This window comes from Homo sapiens, chromosome 4 (genome assembly GCF_000001405.40).
Source record: "Homo sapiens chromosome 4, GRCh38.p14 Primary Assembly".
Classification (NCBI taxonomy): domain Eukaryota; kingdom Metazoa; phylum Chordata; class Mammalia; order Primates; family Hominidae; genus Homo; species Homo sapiens.
The window spans coordinates 16,352,436-16,372,395 of NC_000004.12; the positions used below are offsets into that span (position 1 = coordinate 16,352,436).

Sequence of the window (19,960 nt, forward strand, 5' to 3'; positions counted from 1 at the left end):
ACCTCTCTCCTCCCACACACAGGTAGGAACAGAGTCCACCCCTTCTGCAGCCCCCCACTACCCAGTGGACACAGCAGCCTTAGGAAATCAACTCTCATGTTTCAACACAGCCAAGATTTTCCAAGGAATAGATTGCAATTGTGTCTGTGGTTATGGGTCAGGATTTGTGTGCTTTATATGTCATTTGTGTAGCCAGGGAGGTAATTTTTATAGTATCCATCAATTTATTTATCCATTTACTACTTAGCCATTCCTTCATGTGTTCATTTACCAGTCCTCACGCTGGAGCGCTCACCACCTTCTGGGTCCTGCACTGGGTCCTGACAGTAGATGCTTACTAAATAATGAGCAATAGATGAATAAGAAAGTGGAAACAAGGCTGGGGAATGTCCCACAACAATTCATAACCAGGAGACATCAGTCACAATCCTGACTAGGGTGGTGAAAGGGTAAGGGGGTGTAAAGGGTCAAATAATTCAACAATTAGCCAATAAAATATTTTGTTGAAAGCAGACTTCTGTGTACTCCATCAATGATGAGAATTGAAAGAGGTTGTCTTAGGAAAGGGGTGAGGTGATACTGGGATGGCAAAGTCAAATCCCAGATGAAAGGCTTGGCTATGGTGGCCCCTTAGATACAGTGGGCCCATTTTAGAGAGGTCCTCTGTGTATCTTAGATGTGTATCCTTTTTCTTATTTTTCCCCATCAAGGAATCCATTTCCTTTAGGAAGCCCATCCCTTAGGAGACTTGATGACAGTGGACAGAGACTTGATGACATTACAGACCCTGAAATTCAGATTCTGACTTTCCTAGCTTCCATGCAGCCAATGCTTTGGTATGTGCCTTGGACTCGGGTAATCAGATACAGGTGCCTTAGGCTGTGAATTGTGAGCTACCGATGCGAAGAAAAGCAGATAATTCATTCTGGTAGCACGTGGCAACAGCTACAACAGCAGCATCCAGCTTCTAGAGGAGCAGTGGCCATGGTGATGGTTTCACTGTCTGCATCTATCAGGCAGTACTGGTGGTGCACCCTGCCATGCCTCATCTCAGCAATGACACAGTGTTGTCCTCCCGCAAGGAAGTTGAATTTTGCCATTTTCCCTACAAGCACAGCCTCTGAAGCTGGTTTCCCAATATTCCTTCAGCTCTAAAGAATCCAGTATCCTAATGGTAGAGCAGTTTATGGTTTAAATTTGCCAGTGGTTTTCTGTTGCATAAAATAATCTATCGCCCAAGTTTATTCTCTTGAAGTGACATCCAAATTTGCATAATCCCATTCAAAATCTTACTTTTAATCTTTAATTTTGTTTTTAATTAACTTTTTATTTTGTAAAAACAACTGTAGCAAAGTTGCAAGAACCTACCCTTCATCTAGATTTACCTACTGTTAACATTTGTGCCACATGTTTGCTCTATCTTCCTCTCTACACACAAATGTGCTCACATTGTTATTCCTTTCACTATTCTTATTTTTATCTTTTGCTGAACCATTTGTGGAGATCTTACATTTCACTCCAAATATTTCAATGTCACTACCCTAAAGAAAGTGACATTTTCCAATATAATCACAATGCAATTATCAAACTCAGGAAGTTTACATTTATTAAAACTGATATCCAATATATAGTCTGCATTCAAATGTTGTTAATTGTCCCAATGCTGCCTTTTTGGCTATGATTTTTCTCCCTAATCCAGAATCCAATTCAGGATTATGCATTGCTTGTAGTCATTATGTCTATTTGGCCTTCTTTCTCTCTCTCTTTTTTTTAATGACATTGACATTTTTGTAGGGTACAGTCTGTTGTTTTGTAGAATGTCTGTTAATTTGTGTTTTTCTGGCTGTTTCCTCTCAGTTTGATTTAGGTTATGTGTTCCCAAGTCTTTCACAAATCCCTTGAATGTGCAACCTGTGTCTCAAATCTCTGACAACATTGAATCTGTAATTTCATTTGCTAAAGTAGGGCTGAGATGGTAATTCTATTCTGTTTGGTTGGATAAGTGACTTTGTAACTACAGGAAAGTACAAAATATAAGCATAGAGATGATAAAAAATAAATTTGGTGTTTAAAACTTCATGTAAATTGTGATTATACAAGTGTAATGAAAACTTTTGTATTCATTGTGTTGTTTGGATAAACTTGGTAGGATGTTTGAAACATTTAAGATATAATGACATTCTAGAGAATCTGGCTTAAGATTTTAATTTAAATTGTAAGATGGTTTTATTTAATTACATTTGCTTAAAGCTTAAGAGAACTGAAGTTACCAAATTTATATATTGCTTTTGAAGATATTGAAATGCTTACCTGTATCTGATCTACTAATTTGATAAATTCATATTTATTAAAGTTGGAAGAGTTAGCTTGAGAAAATAAAATATATTCAATTTATGATCATAGTTTGACATGTTTAAGGAAACTTAATTAAGTTTTAGATAGTATGAGAGATTTTAATTTGTTGTTTATAAGCTTTATGACTTTAATTTGATATGTCTGAAAAAATTTGTTGAAGTTTGAAAATAATGCTTAGGAAAAATTAATCTGTGAAATTTATGCTATAAATTAGCAGAAATTAAAGAATGAGAATGTTTTTAATTTTCACTCCCAATTGTTAAATTTATAAGCAAATATACTGGACTTGAAAGTTGAATTTAAAGGCTAAAGGAATGACAGATTTTAAAATTTAAAAAAGTAAGTAAATTACTATCAATAAAAACCCAAGTCATGGTAATTTTTTTTTTTCTATACACCAATCCTCCTTTGGATGTTAAAAAAACCAGTTGATAAGTTCTGGGTACACAGTTCCTGATATATTATTAAGTCATAGAAAAGATAGACAGATGGACACAAAATCGTGGTACAAAATTCTGAATGCAATGGAAGAGGCAGACCCAGCGGGTTGGAGAAGGCACCTATTGGATCTCAGGGTGGAATAGGATCAGAGAATGCTCCAGGGGTGAACAGGAGTTTATTAGCCAAAGAGGAATGGAATGGCTTTCCCAGCATGAGTTGGAGAATTGAAACAGTGCTAGGGAGAGGGAGGTATGGAAGGCGAGAGATGTTGTGCTTGACAAGATCTAATCAGGTCTCAGCATTGCATAAGGCTGTGAGAAATTTTTTCAAGTGATTTATTTATTTATTGAGTGCCCACTGTGTGCCAGCATCTGTGTTTCTCTTTCAGGGCAAAGACATGGAAGATACGGGCCCTCACTGTATAGTAGCTATATCAGTCTTCTTGGGCTGCCCCAAGTCTCTGGTCTTGGATGTTTCTGGTTGTCTGGCTGGACGGCTTAAACAACAGGAGTTAATTTTCTTACAGTTTTGGAGGCTGGAAACCCAAGATCAAGGTACCAACACGGTTGATTTTTAGATCAAGGTGCCAACAAAGGTTGGCCTCTCTCCTTGGGTTGCAGATGGCAACTGTCTCACTGTGTTCTCATATGGTCTTACCCCTGTGCACATGCAGAAAGAGAACGAGAGAGAGAGAGCACAAGCGAGCTCTGGTGCCTCCTCCTCTTCTGAAAAGTATACCAACTCTATTGATTTAAGGCCTTTCTCTAATAACCTAATTTAACATTAATTACCTCCCTAAAGGTCCTATCTCAAAATATAGAACCTATGAATTTTGAGGGCATACAGTTAAATCCATAACATTAGCATTCGTTATCTCGTACTCAAGTGAGTCAGTTTATCGATATGTCTACATGACAAGGCTGACAGTGCCGTCAGAACTGGAGCACAGACTTACGTTGTTTTTTGTATCTCCAACACTTGGCATGAAGCCTAAAACATAGGAAGCACTAGATAAAAGCCAATTATGTGAGTAAAAGAAATTACTAAATGAATAAATGATGGCAACTAAACCCAGCATGACAATTCAGTATGATATGGTTTAAACTTTTATTCAACAATATTATCTGGGGCCCATTGTGTCCCATGCTTTCTAGAACCTTTGAAATATCAGTAAACAAAACCATTAAAACTCTCTGTCATTTAGGTAAAATTCCTTAGGAGCTGCTGAAACAGGTATCTTTGTTCAAGTAATTTTTTCCAGGAAATGGTCGTAGAAGAGGGGAATGAAGGAAGCAGAATAGGGAGGGAATAAAAGCTAAGTAAGAATGGGGCCTCAACTGGAGGCTAGCCTTAGTTTGTTCCCATGGGGAAGCTCTGAAGCACAAATAACATAGCAGAGTTAGTCTTACCTTGAGTCAAGGGGTGCTTAGTCTTTTGTACACCCATGTCAGTCAGTCATTAGCTGAGGTCTTTCCTCCAGAGGATATAGGATATAGTTCCACAGGACGATGGTTGTTGTATTTGCCCATTTATAGGACGTAGAACTATCAAGATATTCTGAAAGATCACCTTCATGCCAGCAATTTTTTGGCCCCATGATTAAGGAGCAGTTCTATATCCTCATGAGGACAGTGGTCTATTATCCCCACTGTTATATAATGTCTGCTTTCTGTGACTGCTCGTCTATTTGCATTAAGATGCCCAATGACCACGTAGCACTCTCAACTGCATCCCTTGGTGGAAACACCTCCTTCTCTGGAGACTAGGACTTCTGTACCTATAGTGTATAAAGGTACAGACAAAGGACACACAAATTTCCTAAGCAGCTCATGCTACTCCCATCCCTATTTCTCTCACCATATGTTCTATCTATTGGGTACACATCACCATATAATGACCGTTGGTATACAGTATATACCCCATCATAAATTATAGCACCCCATCTTCAGAAGGATGTCATCTTCAATCTGACCCCTCAGCTGTACATTCCAAAGGTTGTTTCATCACTCTATCAGGCCAATAGCTTCTGGATGGTTTGTGTATGGCAGGACTGATGGATTCCACAGTTATATGCTCACTACCATTTTTAGGATGTCCAGACATTCACAGTCCTTTTGGATTTTAGCATGACAGAGAATGGAAAAATTAACAAAGTTCTGCAGCAACTCTGAATTTGTACCATTATTTGTGCCTCGAGAATGTAAACTGCTTCTGATCTTCCTCTCATGTAGATATGGAAAAGAACACATTCATTAGTTCGATAGCCACATATGATATATCTCAAGCTGTGTTAATCTCCTTTAGTAAAGACACCATATCTGGCACAGCAGCTACAAATGAGACTACACTTGGCTAAGTTTGTGATAGTCCATTAACATCTATCATAATGCATCCAGTTTTTGCCCTACTGAATAAATGGGATATGACAGAGTCTATTACTCCTGCATTACGTGAGTATTTGAAGGTGGCATTAATATCTGTCATATACTCCAGGATGGGATCTTGGTTTTGATTTACTATCTTGGAGCAGGGAGCAGTTTCAGGGACTTCCCCTTGGCCTTTCCTACTGCCATAGCTCTTACTCTGCATGCCAGTGTGGGAGTTCTGTCAACTCCTGAGTATGAAATTGTTGTTTATGCCTTTAGGAATCAGAGAAATAGCAATGGATGAGAATGAATCCATTGTGAGATGGACCTTGGCCAGGACTTCATTTATTATTTGACCCCCCATAGGCACTATCAGGGATAATATTGGTACTTTGGGTTCCTGGGTACTAGTGCCTACTCAATTCTATGTCCTATAGCCTTTGAAGGATTTGGGTATTCCCCTTTCTGCAGTGTACAATTATTTGAGTACATAGCCATAATTCTTTTCTTTTCGTTGTTGCTGTTATTTGCTTGTTGGGAAGAACTGGGAAAGCACTACTGTGCTCACTGGCTGTTGTGTTGTAGGATTTTTTTGTTTTCTGTGGGAATATGATCTTTCTTTAGTCGACGTGCTCTGGATCTGAGAACTCCTCAGGGCTGTAAACTGGGCAATCAAGACTTTCTAACATTTGAGACCAGCCTGGGCAACATAGCAAGACCTTGTCTCTACTAAAAATTAAAAAAAGAAATTAGGTGTTGTGTTGCTAGCCTGCAGTCCCAGCTACTTGGGAGGCTCAGACAAGAGGATCCCTTGAGCCTAGGAGTTCAAGGCTGCAGTGAGCTGTGATTAGGCCACTGCACTCCAGGTGGGAAACAGAGCAAAATCTTGTCTCAAAAAAAAAGTCTTTTTACAGAGGCAGCAGACCTTAAGTCTCTTGATCATCCATTCTCTGTGAACCCTTTTGTTTTTTGAGACAGTGTCTTGTTCTGTCGCCCAGGCTGGAGTACAATAGGGTGATCATGGCTCTCACTTCAGCCTCAAACTCCTGGGCTCAAGATCCTCCTGCTTCAGCCTCCTAGGTAGCTGGGACTACAGGCACATACCACTGCACCTGACTAATTTTTGTATTTTTTACAGAGACAGGGTTTTCACCATGTTGCCCAGGCTGGTCTGGAACTCCTGGACTCATGTGATCTGCCCGTCTCAGCCTCCCAAAGTGTTAGGATTACAGGCATGAGCCACCACACCCGACTGTCATTCTCTGAACTTTTTGGATCATGTATTTTAAGCAGTACACTTTCTGGTTGCCCATCTATTTTGCACCTAAGAATACTATGTTCTGTGAGCCATTGCCATGATCCCTATGGGACAGATGCCTCTGGCTGCCATTCCAGTCTTGCTGTCCATTACAGTAACTGGCTTTACTTTATTCTTTTTCTGACTGTTAAGGGCTGCCTCCTGGCCTCTTCTTTTCCAGAGTCTTATCCTCATTGCTGTTAGGGAGCCCACTTGTGTAACAACAACTTCTCCTATCATCACTCCTGACCTACAGAGGATAATTACTGCTCACTTTTGCACTGCCTGTGACTCTCTCACCAGAGCCCTCTATCATTTTTGTTAATAAAATGTCCTCTGAGCCATCTTTTTTTTTGTTTTTAATTTGGCTACATTTTTATTCGAGCATGGTCATTTTCAAAAGAAATTACAAATTAAAAATTCAATAATACTTTTACAAAGACAATTCAGAAAGATTTTTGCATGGTATCATACATTGTATTTAACAGTCCCTCTTTTTAGCTAAAAAACAAGATGAAGAAAGTGGAATTTTCAATAAAAAATACAGTGTTTTCACAAGATCGTATCAAAAGTTCCCAAATTTGGAATTTCCAGTAATTGGAAAAAACAAAAATAAAATAATAAAATCGAAAAATTCCATCTCACAATTAATGTTCCAAAACACAATAAATGCTCTTCTCTTTACATAAAATTTGCCCAAATGACCAATGTCATGTTCCTTTTTTACTAAAATATATCTATATATTGAAGAACTATAATACCGTACACTATAGTATGAAATAAATAAAATTAGTAAATATAAAATTAGGAAATATAAAAAATAAAAAAACATAAATAAAATGTTATTTGACCTAAAATTAAATGAATGCAAAAAAAAAATTGTTGTTGCAAAAACAGTTTGGTGTAATACTGACAAAATTAATGAACAAAAAAGTACATAAAATAATTGCACGAACATATGTAAACTAAGGAACTGCTGCCTATTCTTCTAATACTGACATGGTTGCTTCAGAGAACAGGGTGAGCTTAACACTGAAGCTGGTGCAAAGGTAACCCATGTTATCTTCTTAATACTGTACAAAGATGGCACTTGCAGAAACACAGAGTAAAAGGTTTGCATAAAAGGCTTTTAAAACCACCTTACAAAGGCTTTATTTCTCATCTTACTTTTTCTTTTACATCCAGGTCACTTTAAGACTTCGGTATCTTAAATTCACACGTGCAACACTTCAAGTTTCTTCATAGAAAAAAAAAAATTGAGGCCTAAAATTGTGTGGTTACTTAAGCTGGAAAAAAAAAGGGAAATTGATGAATAGCAAAAGGAAAGTACAGAGGAATCGTAATACTGATGCATTGTAGTGCGAGCAGATTAAATTAAAAAGGAATAACAATAATAATAATGATGTATGGTAGTGCTGGCACCTTTTAAAAATGTATTGATGTAAATTAGACATAGTTTTGTAAAGTTTGTAGTGATACGTAAGTAGAGTGCAATTTTTACAATTTTCTAGTTGTGCTTAAAGTATAAATGCTATTAAACACAGGAATTAGTCTCTGAACCACACAGTTTTTAGGCCTTAACACTGTACAAAATTTTTGCATAATGCAGTTTTTAACAATACCCAGCTCCAACTCTGTCTACATCTGTCTTGGCTGAACCACCCCTTCTGTCCCTCTCCACAGCTTTCTGGAAGCGTCAGGCATGTGCATGAACCGCTTAACACAGCAATGTTTTCAAGCAGGTAACAATACTACTGGAAAAAAAAAAAGGAAGCTTCAAATGCAGTAGTTTAGTCCATGCCACGTTCCATATTGTCTTCCTCGTGGTCTGATTTGGTTTCCATTTTCCCATCCTCCGAACTATCGTCCATGGAGTGATCTCCAGTTTCTTCTTTATCTCGTATCGTTTCGGGATCCGTATCCATACTTTTATTTTCACTTTCTTCCTCTTCCGCCTCGAACTCCTCGTCGCCATCTTGTCTGCCCAGCTTCCCGTAGCCATCCTCGCCTGCCTTCTCGCGCTGTTTCTAGCTCTCGCCATCCCTCGGCGTACTCTTCCTCTCCTCCGAGTCAGAGTACCCTGGAGGGATAATGCTCTGCAGGTAAGCCCGGTTCATCAGCAGGGTGGGTTCCAAGTGCCCTTTCTCGCGTGCCTTGCTCTCCGCGGCTTCCCGCTCCTCCGTCTCCCGCTTGCAGTAGGAATACCTGTGATTCCTGTGCTGCGAGTACGAGCCGGAGTGTGAGAAGCGCTTGCCACATTTATCACACTGATAGGGCTTCTTGCCCGAGTGAAGCCTTGAGTGCTCGTTAAGGTGATGCTCGTGTTTAAACGCTTTCTTACAAATCTGACACTGATGTGGTCTGTGTGTTCGTATTTATGTCGCAGAAGGGAACTGCTTTTCTGGAATTTCTTGTCACATAAGTCACATGCATACATACCACTCTCTGTCTTCCTGATCTTCTTGCGAGACAGACAGCAGTTGGAGTCTGTCATAACATCTAGACCTGACATGTAGTCTTGTGCTCCATAAAGCAATTCCCTGAAATCCTTGTTTCCGCAGGTACTTTCTCCTTCGCTGCGTATCAGCAAAGGTAGTTGCTCCAGTTGGGTAGGTGTAGGCTGTATGTGGCCAGCTGGGTAGGTGTAGGCTATATGTGGTAGGAAGCTTATCTGATCCAGTGTTGGGTATTGTCGTAGCCCAGGAATACTGGTCTAAACTGGTGGCATGAAAGTAGCAGGGGGAAATGCGCTTTGAGGTGGAAGAGCTGTGTATAAAGGTTTGGCACTAAAAGGGTTCGTGCCGAACACTGGGTTAGTGCTTTTGTTGTCCAGATTATTTGAATTTGAAAATTCCTTCTTGATAAAAGTCAGGTTCAGAGGTTTATCTGAGTTTTCAGATGAGGAAGAAGCACTGTTATGGTCAAAACTGATGAGCCATCTTAAGAACGCGTAGTTGGTACATTTTCTGGTCTCCTATGATAGACATATTCTAGTATCCCTACTTCTCTGAGGCTCAGGATTCCTTCCTCCAGAGTTTTCCATGGCTGCTCTGGCATCTCTCCTTTCTACAAGATGGGCCATAACGTTTCCCAAGTTCTCAAGAGTTACTCCAGGAATGTATTAGAACAATCACGTGAGGTCCTTGCCAGATGTCAAACATTGTGTTATGGAGGAATGCTTCATGTTGAAAACATGGTCCAGCGTGCTCAGGATCCACCAATCTGAGTTCCTGACAATACATGTTAGCACATGGTCCTACAGCTCCTTTGGTAAATCATTCCTTTCTTTACTTAGCAGGATTGCCACTTACCTTGTCATTTCTGGCTGAGATTTGTCTCTACTTATGGGTCTGGTGGCCAGTAGGAAAGGAGGAAAGAGATTCTGATGAAGGCAACTATTACATTGTAAAGCACCTGCTTCATTTTATTTATTTATTTATTTATTTATTTATTTATTTATTTATTATACTTTAAGTTCTAGGGTACATGTGCACAACGTGCAGGTTTGTTACATATGTATACATGTGCCATGTTGGTGTGCTGCACCCGTTAACTCGTCATTTACATTAGGTATATCTCCTAATGCTATCCCTCCCCGCTCCCCTCACCCCACAACAGGAGCCGGTGTGTGACGTTCCCCTCCCTGTGTCCAGGTGTTCTCATTATTCAATTCCCACCTATGAGTGAGAACATGCGCACCTGCTTCATTTTAGGTCTCTATATAGTTTTCAGGCAAGAGGTTCTCTACCTTCCAAAAAGAGAGTGGGACACTTCTGTAGGTTCAGAGGGTTCAAAGGAATCTGGATGTGATTCTTCAAATGTGTCTGCCTGGATATCCCTATCCCAAATCTTAGGGTTCTACACTTTGTATCAGGGCCCTGACTTTTTCACTGTATACATGCATAGGCTGATACTTCAAGATTCTCTTAAATTCCAGAATTCTTTAAAAATTCTACAATTCTTAAAATTAGGTCTGGTGCCTAATCTTAAGCAATGTCTGTCTGCTGGCTGTAGGAGATAAAAGTCTTTAAATGCTCCCAAGAATACCCTATGACTCTCTGCTTTAAGATGTTGAGTAATAGATCCAAGCCTGTCATTTTTTTTCTTTTTAATAAGACAGTGCTGCTTAGAAACAGCTACCAGTTGCAGTTCTTATCATTATTTATTCTACATCTCTCAAGTGTCAAAGATACTGCACCAGCTAGTACACCTCCTTCCAATTGTGTCTCATCTTAGTCCATCAAAAGTAGAAGTCTTAGCAATTACAATGCTTGAATATGCCAGGGACAATCTATAATCCAGCTAAGACTAGTAGTGGGATCCTTATTGCCATTCAGCCAGCAAGTGACACAACTTGAAAATCCCATACTTAGAGCCTCCTAGGACTACTCCACTTTTGGTACCAGTTGTCTTAGGCCAGGGTCCCTAAAAACAAAGTACCCATCCAGAGATGGGTATTGGTAATCAAATGGTTTATTGGGAAAATGCTTTTCAGAGCAGGTGAAGTGAGGAAAGAATGATAAAGCAGGAGAAAAGCTAAGCAGGGATGTAGCTTCAGAGGAAAACTAGTTTCAGTCTGTTCTCAAAGTGAGTTTTGGAAAACAATTTGTACTACAGAGTTAACCTGACCTCAAGACAGTGGGCTAGCTTTCGTTTGTCATTGGCTGTGGTCTGCCTCCTAAGAGAAGTGTAGTTAAGTTATTTTTATTTTTTAAGCTGAATTTAAAAGAAATAATGTTTGCTGTTGGGAATGACCTAGTAGAAAGACTACAATAAAGTTGAAAACTAAAACTAAGGGGAAAATAAAAATGAGAGACAGAGAGAATTGCTGCAGCTAAATGGGTAAGTGGATATTTAAACAATGTATGGGTTCACCTAAGACAGAAGCATGGAGTTTCATATGCAATAACAGCAAAGAAGGAGGAGCAAAGGCAGAGGCTACAGTGAAGTGTGTTCAGGTCCCAGGTAGGTGTCCCATGAGGTTACAAAGCAGAAATATCAACTATGAGCGGCGCTTGCCAGAATGGGAAGAAGTCTTCCTGACAGACATCAAATTGGATCTGCATCTTAAAGAAGAATAGGAAGCATTGTTTAGGTGGAAAAGGGGGAAGGGAAGAGTTTATACATTTGTGGTTTTTCCCTTCTGAGGAATTTATATTATTTTCCAAATTAAAGCAGCTTCTCTGAAAAATATTTCACAAATATATTTCTGAATTGAGGGAAACAGCATTTACTCAGGATCTGCTATATGCAGAATGTAGAGCTCATCCCTATTGGAAATAAAGACAAAAAAAAAAAAACCAGAAAAGCAAGAGATACAAGCTATCACCTTGCCTTTATGGCTTGAAAAGCCTTCATCAAGCTGCCTACTTGGGAACAAAATCCTCAGGATCCACTTCATGGCACTTCCTTACAATTTTACTAATTTAAATATCACAGTTCCTTCTTCTCAGCATACCCTCGCAAAGTACATTTGTCCTTGTAGACTTCATGTATTAATTGTGCATTTCTTCACTTTTGTTCAGATGACTGTATCTCCTTTACTCTGCCTTCTAGTGTCTGCCTGCCTTGGTGAGTGTGCGCCATATTGGTGATGAATACACTATCTGGGCCATGTTTTGTAGTCTTAGTCTTATGACACACCACCTAGCCACACATTACATGTACATAACCAAAGTAATTGGGATAAAATTGTTGTTGCTGTTGATGATGATTGGTGATGATGATGCTTGAGGGAGTTATCATGTGAATTCTCAGCACCTGTAACAACGCTCTGCAGAGAATAGACTTTTAATTTGCTGATTGGATGGATGGATGAAGGGTGAATATATGAGTTAATGGGTAACATAAAACTAGATTCCTCAGCTACTCTTACCCTCACCTGGATATGCTCTTTTAAATATGAAAAAACTAAACATCTATTTTTCAGTTATGAAAGTTTCTTTGTCTTTCTTTACGGATCATTATGCTGCCAAGGCTGAGTTTACTGTTTGCTGTTACAAGAAGGATTGTGCTTCAGTGAAAAGAAGATGGATTTTGAATGTGAGGACTGGTGTTAAAATCTAATTCAGTTACCGCCTAGCTGTGTTATCTTGGGCCAGTCACTTAACCTCTGTCAGTCTTTCTCCATATCTACAAAAGAATAATAATAGCACACTCCATTGTACAAGATTTTGTAAAGATCACATGAGATAATACATTAGAAAGTGGCTTGTGTGCCAAGAGCAGCACAGAAATGCGAGTTGCTATTCTTTTCTTTGATGCAGGCAATCCCAGCCATCCTTTCTTTTGAATTCACAGGAGCTTAGCTTTTCAGATATGCTATTTTTTTTATTTCTGCCTAGAAAACATAAAGATAATGTGAATGCTGCTAATCCACAGGAAAATAGTAGAATAATGACAGCCTTTCACCTCTGTAGAACTCAACAGCATACACAGTGTGTTCCCACGCACTCTCTCATTCGGTCCTTACACAGGCTCAGGCAGTGAATGTTGAAGTGTTTTTATTACTGCAGTAGGGCTGTGTTCCTGACAGCATTCCCCTCTGGAAGGAAGGCCGCCAACAGAGCAGAGTAGACCCTACAGCTGAGCTGCCTGTGCAAAACGTAGAAAAGGAGATGGGCTCCCAGTTGCCAGGGGTGGAGGCAAAGAGGGTGGAGGTCTGCTGTCTGGATTATTGTTGACTCCAACTATGATGTCTAATTTATGCTTCAACTTGACTGGGTCATGGAGTGCCCAGACATTCAGTCTGACATTATTTCTGGGTATGTCCATGAGGGTGTTTCTGGTGTATTAGTAAACTTTATTTTGTAGAAGAGGATACAGAATTTTACTAATAAACTGTATTGTTTAGAACAGTTTAAAATTTACAGAAAAATTGCAGAGACAGCACAGAGAGTTCCCATTTATGTCACACTTGGTTTTCCCTATTATTAACATTTTACATTAGTATAGCATATTTGTTACGATTGAAATGTTACAGCCAGTATTGATATACTATTATTAACTAAAGAATATAATTTATTCATCATTCATTAATTTTTGCCTAATCTCCTTCTTATGTTCCAGAATTCCTTTCAGGATCCCACATTCCACTTGGATGTTATGTTTTCTGAGGTTCTCTTGGCTATCATAATTTCTCAGACTTTCCTTATTTTTGTTGACTTTGATGCTTTTGAGAATTGCCAGTCAGGTGTTTTGTAGAATGTTCCTTAATTAGCATTTGTCTGTTGTTTTTCTCATGCTTAGATTGGGGTCAGGGCTTTTGAAAGAAAGACCACAAAGATAAAGTCGTACATTGGTATCAAGGTTAAACACTATTAACATGACTTATCATTGCTCATATTGACTTCATTACTTGGTGGGGGTAGTGTTTGTCACGTTTCTTCACTAAAGTTACTCCTTTCTTCTGTACCATATTTTTTGGAAGGAAGTCACTTTGTGTAGCTCACATTTAAGAAATAAGGAGTTATGTTTTGCCTCTTTGAAGGCAGAGTATCTTCATAGACAATTTAGAATTTTCTTTTTTTTTAATTTACATAGATTTTTTGGGGAAAGGGTGGTATTCGGTTACATGAGTAAGTTCTTTGAGGTGATTTGTGAGATTTTGGTGCTCCCATCACCTGAGCAGTATACACTGAACCCAAGTTGTAGCCTTTTATCCCTCACTCCCTTCCCACATTTTCTCCATGAGTCCCCAAAGTCCATTGTATTCTTCTTATGCCTTTGCATCCTCATAGCTTAGCTCCCACTTATGAGTGAGAATGTACAATGTTTGGTTTTCCATTCCTGAGTTACTTCACTTAGAATAATATTCTCCAATCCCATCCAAGTTGCTGTGAATGTCATTAATTCATTCCTTTTCATGGCTGAGTAGTATTTCATCATATACATATATATATCACAGTTTCTTTATCCAGTCATTGGATTGGGTATTTGGGCTGGCTCCACATTTTTGTGGGCAAAATGGGCATTTGGGCATTTGGGCAAGTAGGCATTTGGGCTGGTTCCACATTTTTCCAATTGCAAATTGTGCTGCTATAAACATGTATGTGCAAGTATCTTTTTCATATAATGATTTCTTTTTCTCTGAGTAGATACTCAGTAGTGGAATTCCTGGATCAAATGGTAGTTTTACTTTTAGTTTTTAAAGGAATCTCCACACTGGTTTTCATAGTGGTTGTACTAGTTTGCATTCCTACCAGCAGCGTAGAAGTGTTCGCTTTTCACCACATCCACCCCAACGTCTATTATGTTTTGGTTTTTTGCTTATGACCATACTTGCAGGAGTAAGGTGGTACCACATTGTGATTTTTATTTACTTTTCCCTGATCATTAGTATCTTTTTAAAATTATTTATTTATTTATTTATTGTGTGTGTGTGTGTGTGTGTGTGTGTGTGTGTGTTTTATTATTATACTTTAAGTTCTAGGGTACATGTGCACAACGTGCAGGTTTGATACATAGGTATACATGTGCCATGTTGGTTTGCTGCACCCATCAACTCGTCATTTACATTAGGTATTTCTACTAATGCTATACCTTCCCCAGCCCCCACCCCCTGACAGGCCCCAGTGTGTGATGTCTCCCACCCTGAGTCCAAGTGATCTCATTGTTCAGCTCTCACCTGTGAGTGAGAACATGTGGTGTTTGGTTTTCTGTCCTTGTGATAGTTTGCTGAGAATGATGGTTTCTAGCTTCATCCATGTCCCTGCAAAGGACATGAACTCATCCTTTTTTATGGCTGCATAGTATTCCATGGTGTATATGTGCCACATTTTCTTAGTCTAGTCTATCATTGATGGACATTTTGGTTAGTTCCAAGTCTTTGCTATTGTGAATAGTGCCACAATAAACATACGTATGCCTGTGTCTCTATAGTAGCATGATTTATAATCCCTTGGGTATATACCCAGTAATGGTATGGCTGGGTCAAATGGTATTTCTAGTTCTAGATCCTTGAGGGATTTCCACACTGTCTTCCACAATGGTTGAACTAACTTACACTCCCACCAACAGTGTAAAAGTGTTCCTATTTCTCCACATCCTGTCCAGCATCTGTTGTTTCCTGACTTTTTAATGATTGCCATTCTAACTGGAGTGAGATGGTATCTCATTGTGGTTTTGATTTGCATTTCTCTGATGACCAGTGATGATGAGCATTTTTTCATGTGTCTGTTGGCTGCATAGATGTCTTCTTTTGAGAAATGTCTGTTCATATCCTTTGCCCACTTTTTGATGGGGTTGTTTTTCTCTTGTAAATTTGTTTGAGTTCTTTGTAGATTCTGGATATTAGCCCTTTGTCAGATGGGTAGATTGCAAAAATTTTCTCCCATTCTGTAGGTTGCCTGTTCACTCTGAGGGTAGTTTCTTTTGCCATGCAGAAGTTCTTTAGTTTAATTAGATCCCATTTGCCAAGTTTGGCTTTTGTTGCCATTGCTTTTGGTGTTTTAGTCATGAAGTCCTTGCCCATGCCTATGTCCTGAATGGTATTCCCTAGGTTTTCTTCTAGGGTTTTTATGGTTTTAGGTCTAACATTTAAGTCTTTAGTCCATCTTGAATTAATTTTTGTATACGGTGTAAGGAAGGGATCCAGTTTCAGCTTTTTACATATGGTCAGCCAGTTTTCCCAGTACCATTTATTAAATAGGGAATCCTTTCCCCATTGCTTGTTTCTGTCAGGTTTGTCAAAGGTCAGATGGTTGTGGATGTGTGGTGTTACTTCTGAGGCCTCTGTTCTGTTCCATTGGTCTATATATCTGTTTTCGTATCAGTACCATGCTGTTTTGGTTACTGTAGCCTTGTAGTATAGTTTGAAGTCAGATAGTGTGATGCCTCCAGCTTTGTTCTATTTGCTTAGGATTGTCTTGGGCAATGCAGCCTCTTTTTTGGTTCCATAAGAACTTTAAAGTAGTTTTTTCCAATTCTGTGAAGAAAGTCATTGATAGCTTGATGGGGATGGCATTGAATCTATAAATTACCTCGGGCAGTGTGGCCATTTTCACAATATTGATTCTTCCTATCCATGAGCATGGAATGTTCTTCCATTTGTTTGTGTCCTCTTTTATTTCATTGAGCAGTGGTTTATGGTTCTCCTTGAAGAGGTCCTTCACATCCCTTGTAAGTTGGATTCCTAGATATTTTATTCTCTTTGTAGCAATTGTGAATGGGAGTTCACTCATGATTTGGCTCTCTGTTTGTCTGTTATTGGTGTATAGAAATGCTTGTGATTTTGTGTATCCTGAGACTTTGCTGAAATTGCTTATCAACTTAAGGAGATTTTGGGCTGAGATGATGGGGTTTTCTAAATATATAATCATGTCATCTGCAAACAGGGACAATTTGACTTCTTCTTTTCCTAATTGAATACCCTTTATTTCTTTCTCTTGCCTGATTGCCCTGGCCAGAACTTCCAACACTATGTTGAATAGGAGTGGTGAGAGAGGGCATCCCTGTCTTGTGCCAGTTTTCAAAGGGAATGCTTCCAGTTTTTGCCCATTCAGTATGATATTGGCTGTGGGTTTGTCATAAATAGCTCTTATTATTTTGAGATACATTCCATCAATACGTAGTTTGTTGAGAGTTTTTAGCATGAAGTCCTGTTGAATTTTGTCGAAGGCCTTTTCTGCATCTATTGAGATAATCATGTGGTGTTTGTCTTTGGTTCTGTTTATGTGATGGATTATGTTTATTGATTTCCGTATGTTGAACCAGGCTTGCATCCCAGGGATGAAGCTGACCTGCTTGTGGTGGATAAGCTTTTTGATGTGCTGCTGGATTCGGTTTGCCAGTATTTTATTGAGGATTTTTGCATCGATGTTCATCAGGGATATTGGTCTAAAATTCTCTTTTTTTGTTGTGTCTCTGCCAGGCTTTGGAATCAGGATGAAGTTGGCTTCATAAAATGAGTTAGGGAGGATTCCCTCTTTTTCTATGGATTGGAGTAGTTTCAGTAGGAATGGTACCAGCTCCCTTTTGTACCTCTGGTAGAATTTGGCTGTGAATCAGTCTGGTCCTGGACTTTTTTGGTTGGTAGGCTACTAATTATTGCCTCAATTTCCGAGCCTGTTATTGGTCTATTCAGAGATTCAACTTCTTCCTGGTTTAGTCTTGGGAGGGTGTATGTGTCGAGGAATTTATCCATTTCTTCTAGATTTTCTAGTTTATTTGCGTAGAGGTGTTTATAGTATTCTCTGATGGTAGTTTGTATTTCTGTGGGATCGGTGGTGATATCCCCTTTATCATTTTTTATTGTGTCTATTTGATTCTTCTCTCTTCTTTATTAGTCTTGCTAGAAGTCTATCAATTTTATCTTTTTGAAAAACCAGCTCCTGGATTCATTGATTTTTTGAGGGGTTTTTTTGTATGTCTATCTCCGACAGTTCTGCTCTGATCTTAGTTATTTCTTGCCTTCTGCTAGCTTTTGAATTTGTTTGCTCTTGCTTCTCTAGTTCTTTTAATTGTGATGTTAAGGTGTTGATTTTAGATTTTTCCTGCTTTCTCTTGTGGGTATTTAGTGCTATAAATTTCCCTCTACACAATGCTTTAAATGTGTCCCAGAGATTCTGGTGTGTTATGTCTTTTTTCTCATTGGTTTCAAAGAGCGTCTTTATTTCTGCCTTCATTTCGTTATGTACCCAGTAGTCATTCAGGAGAGGGCTGTTTGGTTTCCCTGTAGTTGTGCAGTTTTGAGTGAGTTTCTTAATCCTGAGTTCTAATTTGATTGCACTGTGATCTGAAAGACAGTCTGTTGTGATTTCTGTTCTTTTACATTTGCTGAGGAGTGTTACTTCCAATTATGTGGTCAATTTTAGAATAAGTGTGATATGGTGCTGAGAAGAATGTATATTCTGTTGATTTGGGGTGGAGAGTACTATAGATGTCTATTAGGTCTGCTTGGTGCAGAGCTGAATTCAAGTCCTGGATATCCTTGTTAACCTTCTGTCTTCTTGATCTGTCTAATATTGACAGTGGGGTGTTAAAACCTCACATTATTATTGTGTGGGAGTCTAAGTCTCTTTGTAGTTCTCTAAGGACTTGCTTTATGAATCTGGGTGCTTCTGTGTTGGGTGCATATATATTTAGGATAGTTAGCTCTTCTTGTTGAATTGATCCCTTTACCATTATGTAATGGCCTTCTTTGTCTCTTTTGATCTTTGTTGGTTTAACGTCCGTTTTATCAGAGACTAGGATTGCAAACCCTGCTTTTTTTTCTTTCCATTTGCTTGGTGGATCTTCCTCCATCCCTTTATTTTGAGCCTATGTGTGTCTTTGCACGTGAGATGTGTCACCTGAATAAAGCACACTGATGGGTCTTGAATCTTTATTCAATTTGACAGTCTGTATCTTTTAACTGGGGCATTTAGCCCATTTACATTTAAGGTTAATATTGTTACGTGTGAATTTGTTCCTGACATTATGATGTTAGCTGGTTATTTTGCCCGTTAATTGATGCAGTTTCTTCATAGCATTGATGGTCTTTACAATTTGGCATGTTTTTGAAGTACCTGGTACCGGTTGTTTCTTTCCATGTTTAGGGCTTCCTTCAGGAACTCTTGTAAGGCAGGCCTGGTGGTGACAAAATCTCTCAGCATTTGCTTATCTGTAAAGGATTTTATTTCTCCTTCACTTATGAAGCTTAGTTTGGCTGGATATGAAATTCTGGGTTGAAAATTCTTTTCTTTAAGAATGTTGAATATTGGCCCCAACTCTCTTCTGGCTTGTATGGTTTCTGCTGAGAGATCCACTGTAGTCTGATGGGCTTCCCGTAGTGGGTAACTCGACCTTTCTCTCTGGCTGCCCTTAACATTTTTTCCTTCATTTCAACCTTGGTGAATCTGACTATTATGTGTCTTGGGGTCGCTCTTCTCGAGGAGTATCTTTGTGGTGGTCTCCATATTTCCTGAATTTGAATGTTGGCCTGCCTTGCTAGGTTGGGGAATTTCTTCTGGATAATATCCTGCAGAGTGTTTTCCAACTTGGTTCCATTCTCCCCATCACTTTCAGGTGCACCAATCAAACGTAGATTTGGTCTTATCACATAGTCTCTTATTTCTTGAAGATTTGTTCATTTCTTTTTACTCTTTTTTCTCTAACCTTGTCTCCTCACTTTATTTCACTAATTTGATCTTCAATCACTGATAACCTTTCTTCCACTTGATCAAATCGGCTATTGAAACTTGTGCATATGTCATGAAGTTCTCGTGCCATGGTTTTCAGCTCCATCAGGTCGTTTATGGTCTTGTCTACACTGTTTATTCTAGTTAGCCATTCGTCTAATCTTTTTTCAAGGTTTTTAGCTTCCTTGCGATGGGTTCGAACATGCTCCTTTAGCTTGGAGAAGTTTGTTTTTACCGACCTTCTGAAGCCTACTTCTGTCAACTCATCAAAGTCATTCTGCATCCAGCTTTGTTCCGTTGCTGGCAAGAAGCTACGATCCTTTGAAGGAGAAGAGGCACTCTGATTTTTAGAATTGTCAGCTTTTCTGCTCTGGTTTCTCCCC

General features: G+C 39.0%; 2 long non-coding RNA genes and 1 pseudogene across 3 annotated transcripts in view, besides 1 other annotated feature; 2 read left to right on the plus strand and 1 right to left on the minus strand.

Annotated features, from left to right (window-relative positions):
* Positions 1-5,853, plus strand: part of LOC124900674 (uncharacterized) — a 71,217-nt gene extending 65,364 nt beyond the window's left edge. The window contains exon 5 of the long non-coding RNA XR_007058064.1: positions 3,185-5,853. This is a non-coding gene — a long non-coding RNA (uncharacterized LOC124900674). The remainder of the gene's footprint in view (positions 1-3,184) is intronic.
* Positions 7,976-9,175: an enhancer, noted in NCBI's record as "MED14-independent group 3 enhancer chr4:16362034-16363233 (GRCh37/hg19 assembly coordinates)". NCBI's record gives its function as "activates an origin of replication core promoter dependent on BRD2, BRD4, P300/CBP and CDK7 cofactors, and independent of MED14, by STARR-seq in HCT116 cells {active_cell/tissue: HCT116}" and the evidence as "EXISTENCE:reporter gene assay evidence [ECO:0000049][PMID:35650434]".
* On the minus strand, positions 8,056-9,392 carry ZEB2P1 (zinc finger E-box binding homeobox 2 pseudogene 1; annotated as a pseudogene).
* Positions 8,430-19,960, plus strand: part of LOC105374505 (uncharacterized) — a 190,382-nt gene continuing 178,851 nt past the window's right edge. For both annotated transcript variants that reach the window (XR_007058068.1, XR_007058069.1), the window contains exon 1: positions 8,430-8,561. This is a non-coding gene — a long non-coding RNA (uncharacterized LOC105374505). The remainder of the gene's footprint in view (positions 8,562-19,960) is intronic.